This window comes from Homo sapiens, chromosome 8 (genome assembly GCF_000001405.40).
Source record: "Homo sapiens chromosome 8, GRCh38.p14 Primary Assembly".
Classification (NCBI taxonomy): domain Eukaryota; kingdom Metazoa; phylum Chordata; class Mammalia; order Primates; family Hominidae; genus Homo; species Homo sapiens.
The window spans coordinates 92,875,365-92,901,328 of NC_000008.11; the positions used below are offsets into that span (position 1 = coordinate 92,875,365).

Sequence of the window (25,964 nt, forward strand, 5' to 3'; positions counted from 1 at the left end):
TAATGACATAAAAATTGGAAAGGAACAACTTACATTATTTATTTACAGATGACAGGATAGCACATTTGGAAATCCATAGAGAATCAATGGAAAAACTATGTGTAACAATAATTTGGCAGTATAAGGTATAAAATACATTATTCATTCAGTTATTTGCTCAAAATAACTTAGGTAGAAAGTCAGTCCATGCCTCATGATGGTGGTAGATAAATAATAAACCAGCACATAAAATATGACTATGTCAGATGGTAATATCGCTACAGAGAAATATAAAACAGTTAAAGAGGACTAGGAAGGCCCAGAATGTTTGGGAATTTGCAATTTTAAATGGGGGATAGGTTAGGCCTCACTAAGAAGACGACACTTGCATGAAGACTTGCAGGATATGGCATGAACAAGATTGAGATGCTCACCATCAACATTTCTGTCCAATAAGGTACTGAACTTATTAGATCAAACTCTAAGGATGGAAGAAAATAAACAATACTAGAGATGGAAAGTAAGAAACAAAATTATCATTACTTGAATGCATTGTTATGTCCTCATACAAAATTCAAAAGAATCTTCTGGCTAATTATTAGAATTAATAACTTAGTTAATAATACTATTTTTATAACATTAGAAATCCTTTGTATTTCCATACACTAGCAACAAATAGGTAATATAGTTTAAAAATAAATATTTACCACATGTAAATATTAAAAGTAATCTATGAATAACTCTAACAAAAAGTTACAAGACTTTCATGAAGAAACTTCTAAAGCTTTGCTTAAATAATTTTTTTAAAAAGACCTAATTAATTAGGGAAAGGTACCATTTTCACTGTGCTGGAGGTTGAATATATTAAATGTGACAATTGTCACCAAGTTGATTTAATGGAGTTTCAGTAAAAATTTTTTAGCAGGGTTTGTCAGGGAACTAGAAACACTATTTCCAATATTTGATAGAAGTTTAAACAATCACAAATAACCAAGTCACTTCTGCAGAATGAGGTGGTGGACTAGCCCTATAATATTAAGACCATTATAGCAGTGCAGTTATTAAGACAATGTGGTGATTACACAGAGATAAACAATGAAATATTTGGATCATGAGCCAGAATACAGAGTCCAGATAACAGCATCTATACTTGATGTTTGACTGAGGTGGGAAAGGGGGTCAGTATGGAAAGGAGGGGGCAACTCAAATAAATGGTACTGGGACAAGAAACATAGAACATGAATGTGACAGGTGGCAAGAAGTGCTCGAGAGACAATTAAAGCAGGGTAAAGGGGGATGTCCCAGGGTGGGTGAAGAAGTTATGATTTTACCCTGGGTAATTAGGGTAGGCCTCACTGAGCTAGTAGTAGGCCAATGGAAAAAAGTTAAACCTCACACCATGTACAAAATCAATGCCAGATGAGATTAAAGACTTAAGTGTAAGAGCAAAAGCACTGTAAGAAAAAATATAAACATATTTTCATGACCCTGGGGCAAGAAGCCTTCCTTTAAATCTCAATAATTGTTTAAAATGACAAACATTGATGTGTTTGATTACATTAAAATCAGGAACTTTATTAATAGATACCACAAAGAAAGTGAAAATAGAAGACACAATCTCTAATAGTATATTTGTGACACACAAATACACACTTGAAACCCTGAAGATTAGTACTAGAATATACAGATATAAGTAATTCTTACTCATTTTTAAGACACAAAAAATTTTTAAATGTGCAATAAATGTGAACAGAGCTTTCAGAGAGAAAATATAAATAGATAAAGTATACTGAAAGATGTTCAATTTCAACAGTAATAAAGAAAATAAAAATTTTTAAATGAAATATCTTTATACACACTTCAAAATGGCAAAAATTAAAATAGCCAAGCAATACCAAATGTTGGTAAGCTGGGCTCTGGATACATGGGTATTCATTTTATTATTTCACTGACATATAGATATATATACAATATATGCATCTTTTATATGTGAATCATTTCAGATTACAAAATGAAGAGAAAACGGAGATCAGACATGATTAGTGCATCCATGAAAAAGTTACGCGGTAAAGTTTCAAAAACTAAGAATTAAATATTGATTTCTAAGGCATTATTTAGCTATTGTATTAGTCCATTCTCACACTGCTATAAAGACATCTCGAGACTGAGTAACTTATAAAGAAACGAGGTTTAACTGACTCACAGTTCCGCATGGCTGAGGAGGCCTCAGGAAACTTACAATCATGGCGGAAGGAGAAGACGCACATTTCACATAGCAGCAGGGAAATGCATGTGTCAGCGGCAGGAAAAACTTCCATTTATAAAACCATCAGATCTCGCGAGAATTCACTGACCTTCACGAGAGCAGCAGGGGGAAAACCGCAGTCACTTCCCACCAGGTCTCTCCCTCAACATCTGGGGATTGCAATTCAAGATGAAATATTAGGTATTAAAAAATCCTACATTATAAAAGGTATTAAAAAACTGCATTAGGAGTTTTGTCTTAGAGTGTGTCTAAAATTTCTTGAAAAAACACTAGCTTATTTATTTGATAAAAGCAACATCTTAAAGTCTTTCCTCCTTTCTTTTGAAAACAAAACAAAGTTGCAGTACCACTAGGGATGTGACCAGCAAGGTGGGTTAAATGCAGACATCGCTCATCTTTACATGTGATGTCCCCATCTCTCACAAGCACGGTAGTCAGTATAGGAATTGAATCAACAAACAGTATAGAATTAAGAGTGCTTGGACAAAAAATAAAATACAATGCCTCTAATAAAAGACTCAAAGTAACTGAAAAGAAAGTCTCATTCTACTCTTCCCGATTTCCACATTATATTCACTGGAATTGTTCCATAGTTTTCACTTAATTTCACAGTGCTAGGACAGTGATTCTCTACAGATAGGGGTGATTCTGGACCCCACAGACATTTGAAAATGCCTGGAAACATCTTTGGTTTTGATAACAGGCAGGAGAGGTACTGCTGGCATCTAGCTGCATGCTAGCATCCAGTGATGCAGCTAAACATTCTACAATGCACAGGGTAGACACCCACAACAAATAATTATCTGGCCTCAAATGCCAATAATGCCAACATCAAGAAACTCTGTTCTAGGGAATGAAGTATAGTATTAGTTATTCAAAAATATTTACTGTGTGCCTATTATGGGTCTGGAACAATGTTTGGCATCAGAGATACAGCAGTACAAGCCAGAGTTCCTTTCTTAAGGAACTTAGAGTCCAGTGGGAGAATCACACAAATAAATTGATAACTATTGTGAAATAAATAAAGTCAAGTGTGGCTTTCTCTACTTGGAATACCGTCTCATCCTTTTTTTTTTTTTTTCTGTTTGATGAAACAATCACCATCTCTCAAGATTACATCATAAGAACAGGAGTATGTTGTGTTTTTGTTTTTAAGGTTCACTGATTTGTTGCAAGCACAAAGGACAGTGACTAGCATGTCGCAAGTGCTCAATAAGTATATTTCTTGAATGAACAATGAATAAACTCAAGTATCAGTTCCTTTTTGAAGTGTTCTTTAATTTTTCAGTGAATAAAGCAGACCCATCTTTTTCCATAGTACTTTTGCTGTGGAATTGTGACAGATGACATATTAGCATCTAGAAGGGCAAGAGTTATCGGACAAATAAATATAGAATGAATGAGTGAATACTGAATAAACGAATATAGAATGTAACGGAAACTAGCAGACAGATCTACTAGGTATATGGACTCAAGTTGTAGTTCAACAAAACATTTTCCTTCTAGTCCTCCCATAAGTTAAACACACAGAGACCAGTATCTTTAAACAAAATAGAATTGCATCACATTAATATTTTATAACTGCTTTTTCACCTACTCCTAAATTGGATATTTACATCACTTTCACTTTTTTGGTCATAAACAGTGATGCGGTTAATACATTTTTGCATACTACTGTCATTGTCACATATAGACGAATTTCTAAAGTATATATGAAATGTAAAGCTTTTGAAACATAAGTGCGTTCCAGAAAGTGTGTGAGATTATCATTCCCTCAAGCAGTGAATGAAAGAGATTGTTTCTTCACATCCTTAATTAACACTGAGTACCAGGCTGCATGTTAGATTTTAATTTAATGTGTTATAATCCAACAGTATTCCCTTTATGATTTCTAACTCATGAATCAACGCCTAGAAATAATTTTCCTTACAAAATGATTCTAAAAACGTCTACCTATAATTTCTTCTAATACTTTTTATGGTTTCATTTTTTATATAGAAATCATAAATTCCACCAGAATTCATCTTGTTTTAAGTCATGATATAGGCATCTTTTAATTTCTAAAAGGATACTAAATTGTTCCAATACATTTAATTAATCTATCTTTCCATCTGCATGACATACATAATGCATTAAATGAATATTTATATTTAGATCTGTTTCTGGACACTGCATTTTTTTCTGTTGATCTGTCTACTTTTCATTGACTATGACATTATTTTAGTTACTATAACTTTATAATATACTTTAATATATTGCAGATCAAGTTTCCCTTTTCTGTTTACAAAATAGAGGAAAATTTACATTTGTACAATGTTGAACCTTCCTATCCATGGAGACAGTTGGTGTCTTTTCAATTAAAACTTCATTATGTTATCTTGTAGAGCTTTTTTTTCAATGAACACTCATACATTTCTGCTCATTTTTTCTACATAGTCCATAATTTTAATTGCAATGGTGAAACACGTTTTTCTATTATGATATTTAACTAATTATTCTAATTATTGTGTTAATATAGAGAACAATAAAACTATTGATTATTACATACTTATTATCTAAAGAAATATGTTATATAAATCTTATACAATATTTTCTTAGTTTTCTAGTCAACCACATAATCTTAAAATTTTAGTTTTTTCCATTTTTTGCCATATTTATTATTTATTCCTGCTGTCTTAAAAACTGAATTACACTGGCTATCACTTTCAGAAAAATGTATAACAATGTAAAAGCATTAAACTCATGATTTTAATGAGAATACTTCTAATATTAAGCATGATAATTGAATTCTCATCTCAGTACTGAAAAGAATGATGATGGCAATGGGCTGAAACACATCATATATATAAAATATATAACTAGATTATAATAATAAAAGCAGCAACAGCAATAACAATGGCAAATCTTCATTGGCCACCATTAGAGAGTGCTAATTCATTAATCTGAAATTTAAGAAAGGGAAAGACTCAAGTATTTATCCTTCCTCTCCTGTATAAGCTGTATTTTCAGATGATCAAATAGTTGATAAAGAAGATTATTTTTAAACATAATAATTCCACTTAATATATGCTGAAGGAATGAAAGAAAATCACCATTTTGCAATGCCTGATGAGATAATGCATCCAGGAAAGGTGATGTTGATGAAAAAACCTTATTTTGCAGGAAATCACATTACTAGCACATCAATTCACTGATAAGTCTAACATCACAAATGAGACCACCAAGTATTATGTAACTCATTAAGTACTACGAAATACTCTCAGCTTAAGAACTAACAAACCACAGTCATAAAAAACTGGACCTAATCTAGCTTAATATCTCATTATCGGGTTATAGAAAATAAGAAAAATATAGGAATAAAATGACTAACACAATGAAAAGTACTAAATCTAGATTACTTGACATTCGAAAGGACAAATAAACAGCAAACAAAATTGCTGTTTTCTTCAGCAATTCAATGGCCTGGATTATTTTTTTACAGAATAAAAGAAATTTAAGAGACACGCAACCAAATTCAGCATGGACTTAATTTTAAAATCTCTTGTAAATAGCCATCTTGGAAACAATTAGGGACATCTGAATATTGACAGTATTAGATTATATTAGGAAATATATATATATTCTACCAATAGCTTTCTGGTAATATAAAAACAAAACAAAACAAAAAACCAACCAACAAAAATCCCAACATTCTTGTCAGTTAGAGATGCATACTGAAATATTTACAGTAAAATGACATCATATCTGAAGTCTGCTTTAAAATACCTCAGTATAAAAAAATGGTGAAAATATGCAAAAGAGTGGGGATACATTAATAATTATTGAAACTAGGTAATGGGTAGATTGAGATTATTACATTATTCTCTCTACTTTTGTGTAATACATGTGGTTAGTGATAAAAAAAGCAAGCAAGAAGTAAGAGAGAGGGGAAAAGCAGGTGAGGATCAATGACGAGTCTAAATAAAAGGGTAGAGGTAGTTAACACAGTAAGTACATAGTTAAGTACGTGAGAGTGCTAACCTATTAAAGTAGAAGTGAGGTTCAAAAAAAAAAAAAACTGAAAGAAGAGAGACTGCCTGGAACTTAGAATTAAGGCAAATAGGGTAGAAGTTGAAGAGCTGGAGAAGGGAGCAAAAGCACTCTTAAGCTACCTAGAAGGGCACTCCCTATCTGGATCACAAATGTTTGGGAGGTAGCATCATAAAAGATTTTCATGTATGGGGTATTTCTCTTTAGTTTACCAACTTCCACACTGTTGTTTAGTGTAAAGCATCCTAATAGGCGCTAAGATTATAAACTCCACCTCATGGCCACTACAGCAAGAATTATATCCAACATTGTTTATAAAATCTTATTTTAGAAATTGCTGCAATTTAAGAGACTTTAAAGATATCTTCAATCTCACTATATCAACATGAAAAGAAAATCCCTCTGAATTTTGTGTTATCCTAGGACATACCTAGAAGGCAATCCAGTGAAGACCTGCCTTGTCACATTCAACAGAGTAATTGCAGAAGCAATTTGTTACAAGCAGATGGATAGTTGAACACTAAAAAGGATGATAAGCTAGAAAGAAATTAGATATTGAAATCAATTTCTTTTAGGCTTACCATGATACTTCAGTTTCACACAAACAATTGTATTTGAAGAAGTCAGGGAAAAAAATGCCATACTAAGATGGGTGCCCATGAAAACAGAACTTTACACATGCTATAGCCTTCATAGTCACCATTTACTTGATTGGTCCAAATATTTATAGTTCATTGTTATGACTGCCAAAACTGGCAACCACAAGGATTGTTGTCTCAATTAGGACAGTAAACAGATTGTCTCTTTTTTTAATGAAAAAATCTAAAATGTAATACTTCACAGTTTAACATGTTTATTCATCTAAACGAGCTAAAAAATAATGGTGCGACATCTGTTCGAGAGGCATTGGTACCTCAAATTTTGGCTGCCTCCCCACCAATTTGGTTGTTGTTTTAAAAAATGAAGAATAGGAGGGAGTACTGTCATCAAAAAATCTTCTGGCATGTAACGTATCTTATTTTTCTTGAAATAAGAATCACATATCTGTTGCTAGGGATAGAAAAACTGTATAACAAGGAGGCACTATGCTGAATGTGGCTACAGTTCAATTGTTTAACTCAATTACTGACCCACTATGGATATTTCCATACTGATATAGTTCTTTACATGACTCTCCCAGTTCCCTCTCTACTTACCTTTATAGCTAAAATATCAACAAAATGGTAAGAATGTTCCTGTAGGTTGAATTCATCTGCTACATTTTTTTTTTAACCGTGGGTTGCACTGATTCTAAATATGGTTTAAGTGGAACAAAATCTAGCAAACAGCATTCTATCCAGGCTGCATTGGAGCAATTCTAATAAAAGAAGGCAGTGCTGCTAAGGGAGAAGTGGTAGGAATCTCCCAGAGAAGCCCCAGGTAAGTGTAAAGAAGTCTAATTGTTGGTGAGGAGAGAATACAAAATTATCTTAGGTAGTCTCTGGCTCAACAACTTTATGTTATGGATGAAATACATTAAAATAGGCTGGGTTTAATTTCTAGAAGTATATTTCTGACGCTGATGTATAGCACAATTTGCTCTACTGAATTATCATTGAGTATATAATTTTAGAACCTGGAAAATACAGTGTTTTAGTAGTCACATAAACATTATAATGAAAATTGAGTTCTATTTTCATTTGGAGTGAAAATGCATGCTAAGTTGAATTCAAACATTGAGTATAGTTTTTAATAAATTCTAAGATAAAAATAGCATATTTGATTCCCTAGAAAAGAGCAATGTTTCTATTTTATAGCGACCTTAATGCTAGTTGTCTTGATTTAAAGAGAATCAGGATGAAACACGTATATATCTCAGTACAACCAAGGACCATAAATGGTAAATGCCGAGTTGATTGATATTGTGATTTTTAAGTTTTATTGATTAAATTCAAACTTTTTTATCATTTACACAAAGAAACTGTGACAGACTCTGAGAGGACTAAAAGGCATCAACTTAAATTTTAACATGCATTTATTAAATTTATATGCAGATGACTACACTACTGCAATTACAGAAATGAGTAAGAACATACTCTCAAGATCTTACAGTCATTGGTTGGGGTGAAAGTATTTCTTCTGTCTTCATGAAAAATTAAAAAGATAGAAAATCTTGAAGTATTTTGCTACCTTAAAACAACTACCCACCCTACATTTGTACTAAAATAGGCTTTTGCTTGTTTTAAAAGCAATTCTAGATGAGGTTATATTTTTACAATACTGTATCTCATCTCAAATAAATTTATACATTCTTTACCCTGTCTAAACTTGCATGCAAAATAAGAACCAGCAAGCCTTCAAACTTCAATCACAGTATTCCATAGGCTATATTTTAAGTCTATTGCATTAGTTGAAATTTATTTTGCAGAGTATGTTAACAAACATATTCTAACACTTAAAAAATCATTACAATTTTTTCTGTTTTTGTCTTCTAAATTACTCTGAGCAGTGAATTACTGGAGGGAAGATACCCATGTCTAAAATTTGTGTCTGGTGCCAGTCTCAGATTTCTGCCAAACACCAGTAGGTATTCAAAAGTGTGGTCCCTTTAAAACAGCAGGCCGGATATCACCTTTCTGTCTTCAAAGATTCAAACCAGACTCCCAATCTGGGATTTCTCTACAGAGGGTTGGCTGCTTCCCAGTTAATGTGAGTTTTGCAAAGTTTGCATTTCATGAAAACAGTGTTGTGTAAACATATATTGTGTCACTTTACCTACTATTTACTAAAATCAGAGAGTTTAGCCTTTGAAATTTATGGTTCTCTGGAGCTATCATAAATCAATCAGTCATACGAATGGACTAGCTGTAGACTCAGGATATCAATAAAACTAGGCAGTGAAATTTGCCTATAATTATACTATATTTAGATTAATAGTTATCAAAAACATTTTTCCCCAAAAAATACCTCAAGGGTAAAACAGAATGGTAAAGTTTTTTTCAGGATAATGAATTTTCAAACATTTCCAAGACCATAACCAGCCATTTTAAGTACTGTAAACTCTGTTATATTTCATTTGGATAAGTATCTAATAAGCAATTATTACATATCCTCTCATTTAAATTACCACTGAAAACTAGAAATAATCTTTATTTAATACGACTGTTTTAACACCATATGGAACGGGAAATAACTAAATGAAAATTGTTCACGTAAATGTGATGGGAGTGGGGGGGTGGGGAGCAGTATTTCTTGACATGTGGCATGTCACTCAGGAAAGTAAAAGGCCCATCATATCCAAAATGCCAGCTTGGATATTCCCTTGCCACCCACTTGACGAACAGACATACCACATGGCATTAAATGCTGCAACCTTTCCTAAAAATGCCACTTGGATTGGTCCGCTGTGGTGAGTATATAAGAACTCTTGGTCTGTCTCTTGAGTCTGTGAGTTCAAAGGGAAGAATCTAGTAAATAACACCGGCTAAATTTTGCCCTCAGATGTTTGGCATAAATGATTTGTGAGGATATTGGAACCTTTGGCTGTTTTCACACCAATGAAATAAATTATGCTACTTGAAAAAAATTCTACAGAACATAATGCTACACAGTCACAGTCGACTTTTTGCAAAAGTACCAGAGAATATCTTTTAGAAACAGTGCTTATAAAGCCCCATATACTCCTTAGATATTTCCCAAGGATTTCTTCTCTTGGCTAGCAGGAAAACAATCTTAATATTTTATTTATTCTTCATAAATACAATGTATATAATATAAAACACTTTGTGCACATGTTTCCAACAATTTCATTTTCTATGCATCTTTACATAAGGTAGTAGCTAATAACTCTTTCTGTGGACACGTATTTTCCAGTTTTCTAAGGTTTATGTGTTCAAGCATTGTAAAAACATATTTAAAAATTGAATTACCAGTAAAAATATTGAATGTACAGGTCATTATGCTCCCACAAATACAAAATACATTGAAAAATTATATCAACAGATAATTACATATGAAATATGAGGCATATATTTTCTTCTATTATTTATTTTCTCCCTAAAGAGTTCTAATTGATTAAATCTCAAGAGACAAAATGTAATTTTATAAAACAACTGTATTGTTCAGATTTAGGAGACAACCTAAGAAGATGATTCTGAGTAGGTAGGATTTTTGCTATTACTGTTATGTGAAAAAGACTGCTCAATTAAATGACAGATTGTTACATATCTCCCTAACAAGAGGGGCGAACTGATACTACAAGCAGCCAGAACAACATAATTAGAATAGAATTCCAAGGTTATATTAATAGAGTAATAAGTTAATTAAAACCAAGATCAACTGAGCTTCTATTTACACCAGTTCAGACAGCCCAAGAGGAAAAGAACTCTATTTTAGAGACATATGTGACTCTTTGAGCTTCTGTCATCCAGGTGCCATTTCTGATGCAGCACATGTGCACTGAACAGTTGGCAAAGAAGGAAAAAGATTATGGTAGATGTATGTGCAGATAGTCTCTCTAATGATGTAAAATACGTCCAGAAAGAAAGCAGGGCTTTGTTGTAAAATAAAAAATTTCCCATGACTTTTTGTTCTTTCTGAATGTGATTTGAGCATGTTTCTGTAAATAAGAATATATACTAACTTATGATGTATATAGAACAAAAATAGACTTACTCATCAGGAAGTGATGGAATTATACACATAAATTGGCAATGACATTTGAAAAATTTAGGATCTGGTTCCCATTTCATCTAAATGTACCATGTATAGGGTGGCTGTCAAAGCAGAAAGATATATAAAAGTATCCAGTAGCACATACTATACTGCATTGCTAGGTAAGGTTCTTTTCCTGACATCCTATGCAACTATCAAAAATCATATGTCTGCAAACTGAAAATATTAGCAGAAAGAATTAAAGATGTTACAGTTTCAGTATTGAAAGTTTTGGTCCCAAAAGGTGCTTTCGTAAAGTTATTTCTCTTTCATGCATTGATTGTTGCTTAGCTAATCTTCATCTTGGTCCAGATCAGGGTCAACATCCGTGGTGAGTCTGAGATAAAAGAAAGCATAGAAAGCCAGTAGTAGTGCCAATATAGCTGCAAGTACAAGGCCAACTTCCTGGGAAGAAAAAAAAAGTAGACTTGAAATTGATGAAAAAAGATTGGTTAACATTATTAGTTTCACCAGATAAAATAACCATATTGTTCCACAGTCTAGAATGAATAATTTGAACCTAATAATCATATCCTTTTTGTTTACCATTTTTTGCCGTTAAGAAACTGTTTTGTACTGGCAAGTCCCAATGAAATGGCAAATACACCAGTGGGTGAGTCATTAGTATTATTATTTCTAGCTAATTTGTTTTTTCCTTATAGTAATATTAAAAATGTATCATTTTAATATATTTTTATAGTTTGGATATCAGGATGTTCGATACAAGCAATGCAGTTTGTATCTACACAGTTGATCTGTTTTCTATTTGAGTGTGTTTAACTTTATTTGTGGCTTCAATACATTCAGTATTAATGATAGCATTTGGGCACAGTTTTTTTTTTAATTATCATTCCTTTTCATTGTAAAGAAACAGTTGTAACTGGTCTCTAGATTATATATAGATGTATACATACTCATTAAATGTGACTTTGTTGAAACTCTAATTTTTAAATCCTAAAGTCTATAGTTTACACTGCAGAGGAACAAAACAAAGTACTCTTCACTCATGAAGCATAATACAATACATTTATCACAGTTTTGAAGGATGGGCCCAGATTTTTCATTTGTGATGTGATGTGGATTAAATTAATCAACTATATTGTAATAATGATAAAAAATTTACTCATATATTATGATAAAAATCATATTATCTCTCAAAAAGTATGTATATGTATATATCTCTGTGTGTATACCTTCCAGAACTTTCTTAACATTAACATATCATTTGACTAAATCAAAAAAGAAAAAAAAAGCAAATAGAATGCCAGTTCAGTATCCTAAAGGGCTTACATACTATATTCTAATTTCTACTGTATATTATGCCCTTTACCTAGCACTGCTTTACAGAGAAGCAATGCATTAGCATTTACATGAATATAGTTTACATTTCACAAGAAGGTAAGTCAGTAATAATAAACTTTAAAAACATTAAAATGAATTTGGCTTATAATCAACATGGAATTTTTACATGAATGTTGAATTTATAAATAGATCTTTTATACAGATTTTTAGCTTCATAATTACATTTATTTAGATGTCCAAACTATGAAAATAAATATTAATAAAAACCAAGAGGTTGAAAAACTCAAGTGTCAAAGATCTTTGTAAGGTTTCATTTTTTAAATCTAATATACCAATATAATGTCAAAGGAAAGTGAATTTTTTCTTTGTTGCAGTAGAAACACTTTGGCATCTCAAAAGGGCATGGCAGCATCAGACAGGTTTCATTTATTTTCTTATATCCACAGCTGTGTTCCCAGACCCATCTGGTTACACAGCTACTAATTTTAAGAGGATGTAATAAACAAGTGACACACAACTGCAAACTCCATCTGTTCTGTATAGTGGACAACAAAACTGTTCAACAGCAGTCCCCATTCGCCCAAGCTTAATGCAAGAATTAAGTTTGTACTCTTGATTGGAGGCCATGATTCATATCTTATTGATAATCAGTTCTAATTGCTGCTTTTCAACTCCTTGTCCTTAAAACAACTCTGTATCATTTCACTATATATTTTCAGAACATCCAGAGGCATGAAAAGGCATTTAAGGGATAGGAAGCAGAGAATATTCATAGAACATAACTTCAGAAGACCCATTAATTCATTACATCTGTTCAATGTACAGTGTGGGTGTGGCTTAAAGGTACTAGGTGGAAAGGTATAGCAAATAATTTTCTCCAAAAATTATCTCTTCATTGAGGAGAAAAGCATTGTAGAGGCTGAATGTCGGGAGAGTTGAAACGATGGTAAAATTTGAAAATAATGCTTGCAGGATGCTGGTGAAACTAACCATAACTTAGAGACCTATAGGCATTTATGACTCCCTTGCCCCCTTTGGCTATTTTTAGCTTTAAATCAAAAAGAACAAAAAAGAACAAACATAACATTTCAAGCTGGCTCATCCCAAGGGGTTGTGGGCAGGATCTGGTTGGCACTTGAATATTTTATTTATGTAACAAAACTAAACTTGTGATCCTTATTCTTTCACTATAATTATGCTTTTCATATAAACCTTTTAAATAAAAAAGCAACTCATTAACAAATGTAAATCTTTTCCTTCTAAATGCTAGAAAACCGGTATTTGCATTCTGAAAAAAAAGTTGGTGATGCTGTAATTCTTGAAAAAATAATCTTTTAATTGAGCAGCAACTAAATAGCAAACTTAGTTGTGCAAACATTTTTTAGGCGGCACTCATTGCATTACTGGGCCATAAATTATGGCATTTTCTTTGTATTTCTAAAACACAAAAAATAAAAAGTACCTCCTCAGTAGAAATCAAGTCTAGGTTTCAGAACAATGTATTAATATCTTATATGGAAATTGCTAACTGTTCCCTTAAAACGCTATTACTAAACATACATTTACAAAAAGCACTAGAAGCCTCTGAGGGTTAAGCCCCTATTGTATAATTCTGCATATCTCTAGCCCATGATTTCTCAATCAGTACTGTTGATTTGATATGGTAATTAAATCTATAAGTGATTTCTTGTATAAGCTCTTCCAAGATGATCATGTCTTATTCATCTTTCTTTTCACAGGTGCTATACTATTATAATATTTATGGTAATTTATAAATAATGAAAGATTGAGTAAAATTTATATAATCGTTATACAGGGATATCAAAATTAGTAATGTTTTTAAAACTTTATAACACTAATATCCATAATACTACCTCCAAAGCCAATCTAAGAACATTTTGTAATATATAATATGGCAACACGATGCACACTTTAGGAGGGTATCTTAAGGCCGATGACAAACACTGAAGGAGAGACTTACTTACACAAACTGGGAATGGCTAATTCAAACAAATGTTTTCTCAATCAGCTAATAATTCATAAGTGACTTCTACACATTCAATTCAATGTTCAATGTTTCTAGTGTATTATTGAACTCTCCTGACAACATTATGAGGTAAATGGCAAAATTTCCATTTTATAAATGTGCCAGCTTAGACTTAGATGGATCATGGCAAAAGGAAGAGGCAAAGGGGATAGGATTCTAGGCCTCCTTATCCTGAGCTCAGTGCTATTCTCATTGCTGTTATTTTTCTATCCATGCATCTGTTCATATTTTCTATAGATATGAATTAAATGAAGAGTATATCTATGATTCATTCAAAAGACTATGTAGTAAAGTGATAAGATATCACAATATTATGGTCATTCTATATCAACTAGGTAAGAGTACAATATGCTTGTTGTTCATTAGTCCTTAGTTGCTTCTCTGACATTATCAATATGGATAAAATCACTCACTGGGGAAATTAAAAAGCATTAAATGGCAATTGCTGAAAGAAACTTTGTTATTTAAAATCCTATGCCAAAATGACAAGGCAATCAAAGTTTGACAGGGCAAATTAATTAGTATGCCAGATTTGAAATGTAAAACACCTTCAAGGTTCTGATTCTAAAAAGTTTCATATCATCTTAATAGGCTCTCCACATAAATTGTCAAGCAAAGTAAGTAATATTTAAGGTTAAAGTTTTTGTTTTCCACAGGTTTACAAATCAAAATGATGTGCTAGCTTATTAAAAAGGAGCTATGTTCTGCTGTCAGTTTGAAAGTTTTCTGTTGATACTTTAAATATTAAATAAAATCTAAGAAAAATGTTTTCTCATAGAAAGATTAGCAAATTCTACAGTGTTTTTAAAAAGACACTAGATAACTGCACTATAAGGTAGACCTTATCTCATACTAGGAACATTATTATTTCTTCAAATTTAAAGACTAACAACAATTATAAGAGCAAATGTATAAAAAAGATGTGTGTGTATAAAACTGGTATATAAATAAATAAATAGCTGCACTATTTCTCAAATCCTGATATTTAACTTCTCATCATATTGTGCCACAAGAGGATTTTGTTACCCCATATTTTTCTAAGAAACAAACAAACTAATTAAAACAACAAAAATCCCACTGTATTGTGAAAGATAAAAGTAAATGACATATTGCCTTTGAGGGCAATGACAGACAATGTTCTCGCTTTAAGAAATGATCACCAAGTAGCCAAATGTAAAATTTAAAAAAATCTCAACACTGCTTTTTAAAAAGTCACGTCATAAAGAATTTTTTTAATGAATGAGATTTCACATGAAATTAGAAAAATACTTCAAAAGATGAATCTTCTCTCTTTTAAACAAAAAGGCAATTTACTTTTTTTTCAATAAAAACTGACACACAGCATGGAAGAGATGGTGTTGTGCAAACATACTGCATCACACGGCAATGCTTGATCAAAATCAGCAATCAGGAGCGAAAAGAAGGCAGTGTTTCGTGATCATAATAGCAAATTCTGGAAGACAACCAAATATATCATCTGGCAGTTCAACAGCTGTTACAGCTTGGTAGTAATACCTTGGCATTTGCTGTAAGCTATAACTTAGAAAAATTGATTTTTCATCTGCCAGATAAAACCCAAAATCTCCTTTTAACATGTTAATATTTAAATAAAATATATGTACTGGTCATTTTTATTTTACACCTTTGATAGTAGAGTTGCCAAATTAATTCTTCTATTAATAGTTTAATTCAACTCTAAATACCTGGCAAAAGATTGACATGGGCAATAATGTAAATGCAATTTGTTGAGCTTCATTGTGTTAGCACATTAAATTAATATCTGCTAACATCATTCTCAGTTGCATTTATCCCTCTTAAGCAGATAAAACACTGGTATTCTGAAAGAACAAGTTTAGGAATGTCATTATAATTTCATCAGAGAGTACTGACAACAATAAGATAAGCAGAGTAAAATTACATAATTAATGATCTCAGTATATATAATTACAACTACAATTTAAACAACTATAAAATGAGATTTATTGAAAAACGAAAGAAATTTCTGACGAAGGCCACATATATCACTGAAATGTCTGAATAATACACATAGTAGCTAGAGAGAAAATAAATTGCACCTTTAAGTATAACTGATTCTCTTAAGTGACACTGTTTTAAGACCCTTCAAAATCTCAGAATAGGAAGGATGTTTTCCATTAAGTAAATTCTTTACAAAAACCTTTAAGTCTGGCATTCTATTTAGATTGTGAAATGTCATAAAACATTTAGAATTCAACATTTATGCAATCCAGTTTTAGAAAATGAAATGGCATGCACATATCAAATTTTAAAGTTATCAAATAGAGGTTTACCTTTATGCCTATTGCTGTTTTCTTTGCTTCTGCTTTTAATTTGGTTGCTCGTAAAATAGGTTTAGTTTTTTTATAATCCTGTTTACCTAGAAAGAAATAGTTTCAGACAATGAGTTATGCTCATATATAATTAAGTTTAACAATCATTTGAAATGTCAAAGAATGTTTAAATACAGTGAAACAGGGACACGGAGTTGCAAAGTAGTTCCCAGTTGTGGTAACCATAAACTTGTCACCAAAAGGTCAACTTTTCCTTCTCTCTTACTTTTTCAGGAAGAGGATACTGACGGACATCTTCAATTTGCTGTATAGTGAATGTCAAAAAAGATAAAAACTTGTTTTAGAGAACACAAAATTTAAAGTAAAGAAAATAAAACTTTTGGAAGCATTTGGAAACAGATGCATAAGTAAATGAGTATATGTAAGATCCTATTAACAGCTAAAGTTAACTTTGTCTTCCTAAGAGTAACAGCTAATTATAAATGTATTTTATTATGGATACGTTAAGCATTCAAAACATAAGTGAGAAATATCCCCAAGTTTCCTTTAAGTAAAAGACTAAAGAAGAAATCTATAAATATTTAACTTTTAGCCCCACCCTGAATTCATTAGAAAAATATTTCTTTTATTTCCTCTTTTATTTCCTCTTAATAGAGAACAAAATTAACATGGCTAGATAGAAGTTATAGAATAGCTACATTTAGATATTAGTTTCAATAATTTCTTCCACATTTCATAGCCAAAAATGTGCGAAACTGAGTTAGTGCCACAAAATTTCCTTTGTGTATCATCTAGTGACTCCAGCAAAGAGTAACAAAAGTGGATTACACAGCCTGGGGAGAATATAGGTTTAACAACAAGAACAAGAACAGTGAAAGCATTCATTACAATGATATACTTTTTGTTAGCCAACTCTTAACTAGGAACTGAGTCAAAATGAGCCTCAAACATAACAATATAATATTTTATTCTCAGGAGGAGTTAATACATGATCGTATAATCTCTCTGGCTATTTTATATTCTTATTTTGTTTTATTTTCATCTTTTCCCCTTCCTTTCGATGACCAGTTCCTTTACAAAACTCATCGCTACATTCCCTTCATCTAAATAATACAAATTCTAACATTAATTTCCACATCTTCTTCACATTGAAATAAATTGAAAAGCAATTGGTCTAAACTCAAGTATATCATAAAAATTTAATGTGCAATATATCTTAATGTGTCTGCTAATGATTCAAAAGTATCTTTAAAATTTCATACAGAGTTTTAGAACTAGAAATGGTAGTCAAATGGATGGGCGTAGTGAAGAAACATTATATTTATGTCCATTAGACACATAAAAGTGTTTGTTTGGCTGGAAAGCAAGGTATTTTGTTTTTAAAGGATTGTCTTCTCTTTCCTTAACTGCTATTGTATAGCAATAACTCTGGATCAATGAGCATGCAGAAGCTTAATAAATATTATTTGATGATGGGGTCTGATGATCTAGAAATGAGACAATTGTCATAATATGTATCAAATGATCTAAATTTAAATAATGGAATGAACAAAATACATGAGAAAAATGTTACTCTGACCCATTTTAAATTAGCAATATTTAATTCTGATGAAAAAAATCTTGACAAGTGTTCACTCTAATTTCACATCTCTACAGTCAAACTATTCATGTCATTATTCCTGCTGAGCTATAAACAGTTCAGAACAATGAAAATGGTGACACATCAAAGGCCTCCGGTCAGGGTTACCAAGCAAGTTTCTAACAAGAATTCTGAAAGATATTTGAAGATTGTAGATTTATCACAAAGTAACTTCTTGTTTTATCCTGTATATGCCCTATAATAATCTCTTGATGCTATGGCGGGGGGTGGGGGGTGAGCAGCAGGAATAAACAGATGCAAGAGGATTATCTTAATTCATATTTTTTATACAGATATGAAATATTTTGGATAATGTATCTGTCATAAAACACATGCAAATATCTAAGAGTCAATACTAAAATGAGAATTTTTCACTCTACTTCAACTGCCATATAACCATTGGTTAAATAATGTATTCTATTTCAATTCAACTCTCATATTCTTAGAGAATAATACTTCCAGATTTGTATTCAAGTTGATATTAACATTTGAAACTGTATTTATAATAAAAAGACAGTATTAAAAGTTATTGTATACCTGGTACTTTTCCAAGCAGTGCATCTGTCATAAATTTAGCATTCTCCTTGTCGACTATGATATCCAAAAGTGTATATTGCAAAATGTGGTTTTAGTTTACTAAGTGACAACATTTACAGGAGTGTCTGGTAGGTTCTTTATAACTAAAGCCAGATCATTCCATTGTACCCAAAGAGGTTTTCAACATTTAAATATTTATGGCTTCAAGAAAGATACCTATGCCCACATGATTGTAAAAAATATAAAATATAGAAGTCCCTGACTTCTGCGTACTTACACCTAAGGGAAAAAAAAAACACAGTTACATAATCTAGATTTTATATGTAGACTGTTTCTTGAACACAACTGATTCTGATTTTGGTTGTATCAGTGATGCAATAACCAAAGTAGCTATTTGACAGTTGCTCATTAAATCTTATGTGGAGAGAAAAACTTGGTAATTCAAGCCTATGAAGCCAATCTGGGGCCTCAATCAAGCCCAATGTCTGAGCTTCCTTAGGAACAGGTTCTACTGCATTTTTCTGTGTATGAACTAACCTATTAGTTCTTTATGTGTTTCATAATTTTAAATTGAAAATCAAACATATTTGATAATGTAATGTGGAAACTCTGCAAACTAGATCGTCCCTGAGGTTTGTTGTTACTGTTATTTGCTCTTTGTTGTTGTTGTTAGAATCCCTTTGTTTAGTAACTTTACTGAACTAATTCTATAGAGACTGTATTCAATAGTATATGGTCACTGAAGTCTCTGCACAGTTACCTTATTGGTCATCTGCTGTGGTTTAATGTGTCCCCCAAAATTCATGTTGGAAACTTAATTTCCAGTGCAACAGTTTTGAGAGGTGGGATCTGTAAGAGGAGAGTGGATCATAAGGACTCTGCCCTCATGAATAACTTAATGCCATTATTGTGAGAGTGGGTTAGTTATCATAGAAGTTAGTTCATAATACAAAGATAAATTCAGTTTACTTCCTCATTCTCTCTTGTGCATGCTCTTTGGCCCTTCTGCCTTCCACCATGGGATAATGCATTCACAAGGCCCTTGCCAGAGGCAGGCCCCTCCAGCTTAGACTTCCCAGTCTCCACAATCATAAGAAATAAATATCTGTTCTTTACACATTTTCTAATCTCAAAGGTTTTGTTATAGCAGCACCAAATAGACTAAGACAGAAAACTGGTACCAAGAAGTAGGGGTGCTGCTATAACAAACACCTGGAAATGTGGAAGTGGCTTTGGAAATGTGCAATGGGGAGGGGCTGGATGAATTTGAAAGAGCAGGCTAGAAAAACCCTGTATTGCCATGAAGGAAGCATTAAAGGTGATTCTGGGGGGTGCTCAGAAGAAATGGTGAGATGTAAGGAAAGTCTGAATCTTCTTAGGGATTATTTGAGTAGTCATAATCAGAATGTTTGTAGAAACATGAAAAGTAAAGGCCATTTTGATGAGGTCTCAGATGGAAATGGGAGACATCTTATTGGGACCTGGAGTAAAGGCTATCCTTGTTATAAATTGGCAAAGAACGTGGCTGAATTGCTTCCATGTCAAATACTTTATATGGAAGACAGAATGTACAAGCAATGGACTAAAGTATCTGCCAGAATAAATTTCTAAGCAAATTACTGAAGGAGTTGTATGACTGCCTTTTACCTCATATAGTGAGATGTGCAAAAAAAGAAATGACTAAAAGGTAAAATTTACAATTAAAAGAGAAACAGGAGGAAAAGATTTATAAAACTCTCAGCCTGGCCATGTAAAGAATAAAAAAAAAGTGTGCTGAGGAGAGAATACTAAAGGTGTGACCAAGCAACCCTTTGCTAAAGAGATTACTAGGGAGAGAAGGGGACCAGGTGCTATTCATCAGGACAATGAGAGAAAGACCTCAAAGACATTTCAGAGATCTCTGAGAATGCCCCTCCCAAAATAGATCCAGAAGATCTTAAGGGCAACATCTCCAGAGAGGCTTCCAGGGGACCTCTGTATTCACTGCCTGGAGTTGCCTTGGGACTCTGTTTCTCACATTCCAGCACAGCACCCCTCAGCCATGCCAGCTGTGGCTTAAGCAGGCCCAGGTGAAGTTTGTGCTGCAGCTCCGGGGACACAAGGGATAAGTCTTAGCAGGGTTCATGTAGTGCTGATTCTGCAGACTTACTGATTTCATGAGCTGTGGGGCCATGGAGGCCCCCAACTAGACTTCAAAAGATGTTCTGGACAGCCTGGGGACCCAGGCAGAAACTTGTTGCAGGGATGAAGCCACTGCAGAGAGCCCTGACTAGGGCAATGCCTAGTGAAGCCACAGGAGAAAAGCCACCTCAGAGACTCAAGAATTATAGAGCTACCAGTGTGCAATTACAGTCTGGGAAAGAACCAGTCAAGAGACTCCAACCTGTGAGAGCTGCTGGGTGGTTTGAACCCAACAAAGCCATATGGGGAGGGTTGCCTGAGGCCTTAGGGGCCCAATGCCTGCCCCAATGTGACCAGGATGTGGGACATGGAGTCAAAGGATATTATGTCCAGCTTTAAGATTTAATGTTGTTTTCCCTGTTGGGTTTTGGACTTGCTTGGAATCTGTTACTACTTTTTTCTTGCCTAATTCTCCCTTTTGGAATGGGAATGTCTGTGGTAGGCTTGTGTCAACATTGCATTTTCTTTTTCTTTCTTTTTTTTTTTTTTAGATGTTGTTTCACTCCTGTCTCCCAGGCTGGAGTGCAATGGCATGATCCTGGCTCACTGCAACCTCTGCCTCCCAGGTTCAAGTGATTCTCCTGCCTCAGCCTCCCAAGTAGCTGGGATTACAGGCATGCACCACCACGCCTGGCTAATTTTTGTATTTTTAGTAGAGATGGGGTTTCGCAATACTGGCCATGCTGGTCTTGAACTCCTGACCTCAGGTGATCCACCCACCTCGGCGTCCCAAAGTGCTGGGATTACAGGCATGAGCCACCATGCCAGGCCCCAGCATTGTACTTTGGAAGTAGATAATTTGATTAATTTCACAGGCTCACAGATGGAGAGGAATTTGCCTCGAGACGAATGATGCCTTGAGTCTTACCCACATGTGATTTTAAATGAGACTTTGGATTTTGAAATTTTGAGTCGATACTGGAAGGAGGTAAGACTTTTGGGACTATTGAGATGGAATGAATGTATTTTGCATTGTAAGAAGGACATGAACTTTGAAGGCCAGGGCTAGAATGCTATAATTTGAATGTGTCCTGAAAAGTTCATGTTTTGGAAACTTAATCTCCAATTCAACAACATTGAGAGGTGGGACTTTTAAGAGATTATTAGGTCATAAGGGCTCTGCCCTCATGAATGAATTAGTTATCACAGGAGTGGGCTCATGATAAAAGAATGAGCTTGGTCCCTTTCCTCTTGCTTTCTTGTATGTGCTCTTTTGTCCTTTATTCTTCCCCATTAGGATGATGCGTTGACCTTTGACTTTCCAGACTCCAGAACTTTAAAAAATAGATTTCTTTTCTTTATAAATTACCCAGTCTCAGGTATTCTGTTATAGCAGCACCAAATGGACTAAGACATCATGTAATGACTGGACAGATATTTCCTTAAATGCTTTGAACCACTAAGTCTCTTAATTTTGCTGAGGAGCTATGTGACTATTTGTGTGTGTGTCTGTATATGTGCATGCAGGTATATGTGTATGTTTTTGTGTTGGGGTACATCTCCATGCTACAACAGAGGTTTATAGTTATGCCTTAGCCTTCACTTCTGCTTGTGAAGAGCCTTAAGTCCACCAAGAGGTAAGAGATTATAGGTTCCTCACATCTTTAATGGGCATGATATAGCCCTGCTCGTGCACATGACCTTCTAGATTCTCAGGAATCTGTCAGACCTTTTAAAAAATTCTATGGGCATGTTGTTCCCCTGTTTTTGCTTTTATTCTTTGGTCAGTCTCATGTTTAACCCCACTAGTAATGATGCTTCAGGCAACTACAATGTTAAACACTTGTTGTTCATTGTTTTTGTCAAATGCCACAGAGAAAGGGCTCTTCACACAGAGTTAGCTCTAAGTAAAGTCAAATAAAGACAAGTTTTGAGAAAGGGGCTTTTCAGTGAGTTTCCAGACTGGTCAAATTGTGACAAGTCTTGAGGATGGGGGCTTTGCATATCTCCAAATGAATTTTGCCTTCTCCAGTGGCTGCTACGCTAACGTTTTCCGTAACTACTGTAGTTGAAAGGCTAAAGAAAAGAAAATGGCATTAAGGCAAGTTAAAACACCACAAAGATTGCAGATATTACTGAGATTCACCTGTTTTTCTGAAATAAACACTCCTTAGATGGTTTTAAGATTTTAGTTAATTTTCAGGTTTCTGGAAAACATTGATTTTGATAGTTTTCACCAGTGTTCTCACTGGCTTTATATAAAAGCAGATTTTCAGAGGTTTTTACTTTCCACTCAAGAAGTACTTCTCCTCCATAGCTTTAATTTTACTATCATCACATTTAAAGTTAGTATGTTGGATTTTTACATTAATTTTCATTCATTTACAATTTTTATAACCATAAAATAGGATACAATGGCTGAGTCAAACAGAGGTTGCTGCTTAAAAGCTCAGTGTTGGTAATCTATCAGTTATTTCAGGCTGAATGTTTCAAATTCTCTTTTTGTTTTTTACTTAATTTTTGCAGGTACATAATAGGTGTGTGTGTGTATATATATATATATATATATATATATATATATATATATAGATGGGGGTACATGAGCTATTTTGATACAAGCATATAATGCATGATAATCACATCAGGGTAAATGCGGTATCTATCTCCTCCAGAATTTTCCTTTCTTTGTGTTGCAAACAATCTGATTATACTACTTTTTTTTTTTTTTCTGGAGTCTCACTCTGTCATCAGGCCAGAGTGCAGTGGCACAATCTCGTCTCATTGTAACCTCTGACTCCTCTGATTCTCCTGCCTCAGCCTCCCAAGTAACTGGGTTTACAGGCACATGACACCATGGCCAGCTAATTTTTGTATTTTTAGTAGAGATGGGGTTTCACCATGTTAGCCAGGATGGTCTCAATCTCTTGACCTCGTGATCTGCCCACCTTAGCCTCCCAAATCACACCTGGGATTACAGGCATGAGCCACTGCACTTGGCCTTTTTCATTATTTTTAAATGTACAATAAGTTTTATCAAATACTAGATCTTATTCATTCTTACTAACTATATTTCTGTGCCCATTAACCATTCCCACTCCTTCCACCCCCTCCCCAATACTCTTCCCAGTCTCTGGTTACCATCCTTTTATTCTCTATTTCCATGAGTTCAATTGTTTAAATTTTTTTAGCTCCCACAAATAAGTGAGAAGATGCCCACTTTTTCTTTCTGTACCTGGCTTATTTCACTTGACATAATGACCTCCAGTTACATCCATGTTGTCGCAAATGACAGGATCTCATTCTTTTTTCATGGATGAACAGTACTTCATTGTGTATAAGTAACACTTTCTATAGCCATTCATCTATTGATGGACACTTAGGTTGCTTCTGAATCTTGGCTACTGTGAATAGTGCTGCAATAAACGTAGGAGTGTAGATATCTTTTTGGTATCCTGATTTCCTTTCTTTTGCATATATACTTAGCAGTAGGGTTGCTGGATCATCTGGTAGCTCTATTTTTAGGTTTTTGGGGGAACCTCCAAACCGTTTTCAATAGTGGTTGTACTAATTTACATTCCCACCAACAGTGTATGAGGGTTTCCTTTCCTCCACATCCTCACCAGCATTCGTTCTTGCACCTTTTGGATAAAAGCCATTTTTAACTGAGGTGAGATGATATTTCATTGTATTTTTGATTTTCATTTCTCTAATGATTAATGATTTTGAGCATGTTTTCATACACCTGTTTGCTACTTGTATGCTCCTTTTGAGAAATGCCTATTCAGATATTTTGCCCATTCAAAACTCAGATTATTAAATTTTTTCCTATTGGGTTGTCTGAGCTCTTCATGTATTCCAGTTATTAATCCTTTGTTAGATAGTTTGCAAATATTTTCTCCCATTCTGTGGGTTGTCCCTTTCACTTTACTGATGGTTTCCTTTGCTGTTCAGGAGCTTTTTAATATGATGTAATCCCACTTCTCCATTTTTGCTTTGGTTGTCTGAGCTTGTGAACTATGATTCAAGAAATCTTTACCCAATCCAATTTCCTGGAGAGTTTCCCCAATGATTTCCTTTAGTAGTTTCATAGTTTGAGGTTTAAGTCTAATGCATTTTGATTTGATTTTTGTATATGGTAAAAGATAGGGTTCTAGTTGCAGTCTTCTGAATATAGATATCCAGTTTCCACAGTACCATTTTTTGAAGAGACTGTCCATATCTTAATGTATGTTCTTAGCACCTTTATCAAAAATGAGCTCACTGTAGATGTAAGAATTTGTTTCTGAGTTCTCTATTCTATTCCATTGGTGTATGTGTCTGGTTTTATGTGAGTACCATGCTGTTTTGGTTACTACAGTTCTGCAGTATAATTTGAAGTCAGTTAATGTGATTCTTCCAGTTTTGTTCTTTTTGCTCAGGATGGCTTTTGCAATTCTGAGGCTTTTTTGGTTTAATATAAATGTTAGGATTACTTTTTCTATTTCTGTAAAGAATTTCATTGGTATTTTGATAGAGATTGCATTGAATTTATAGTTTGCTCTGGGTAGGATAAACAATTTAGCAATATTGATTTTTCCAATCCATGAACATGGAATATTTTCCCATTTTTTTGTGTTCTCTTCAAATTTTTATCATTGTTTTATAGTTTTCATTATAGAAATCTTTAACTTATTTGCTTAAGTTTATTCCTAGGTGTTTTGTTTTATTTGCAGCTATTGCAAATGGGATTACTTTCTTGATTTTTTTTCAGACTCTTTGCTATTGTCATATGGAAATCCTACTGATTTTTGTAGGTTGATTTTGTACAAAAATCAACTCCAGCAACTATACTGAAATTGCTTATTAATTTTAATAGTTTCTCATAAAGTCTTTTGTTTTTTCCAAATATAAGACCATATCATCTGCAAACAAGGATAATTTGATTTCTTCCTTTCCAATTTGGATGTCCTTTCTTTCTTTTGTCTGATTGCTCTAGCTATGACTTCCAGTACCATGTTGAATAACGGGGGTGGAAAGTGAGCAGTCTTGTCTTGTTCCAGATCT

At 33.5% G+C, this 25,964-nt stretch overlaps 1 protein-coding gene across 14 annotated transcripts in view; it reads right to left on the reverse strand.

The window, feature by feature from the left end:
- Positions 1-8,169: 8,169 nt before the first annotated feature.
- TRIQK (triple QxxK/R motif containing) overlaps positions 8,170-25,964 on the reverse strand; it is a 134,132-nt gene continuing 116,337 nt past the window's right edge. For all 14 annotated transcript variants that reach the window (XM_047421713.1, NM_001438083.1, NM_001171799.2 and 11 more), the window contains 2 exons: positions 16,625-16,710; positions 8,170-11,371 (listed from right to left, as the gene is read on the reverse strand). In XM_047421713.1, the coding sequence (XP_047277669.1) occupies positions 11,258-11,371; positions 16,625-16,710 (200 nt within the window). In that variant the 3' untranslated portion in view covers positions 8,170-11,257. The remainder of the gene's footprint in view (positions 11,372-16,624; positions 16,711-25,964) is intronic.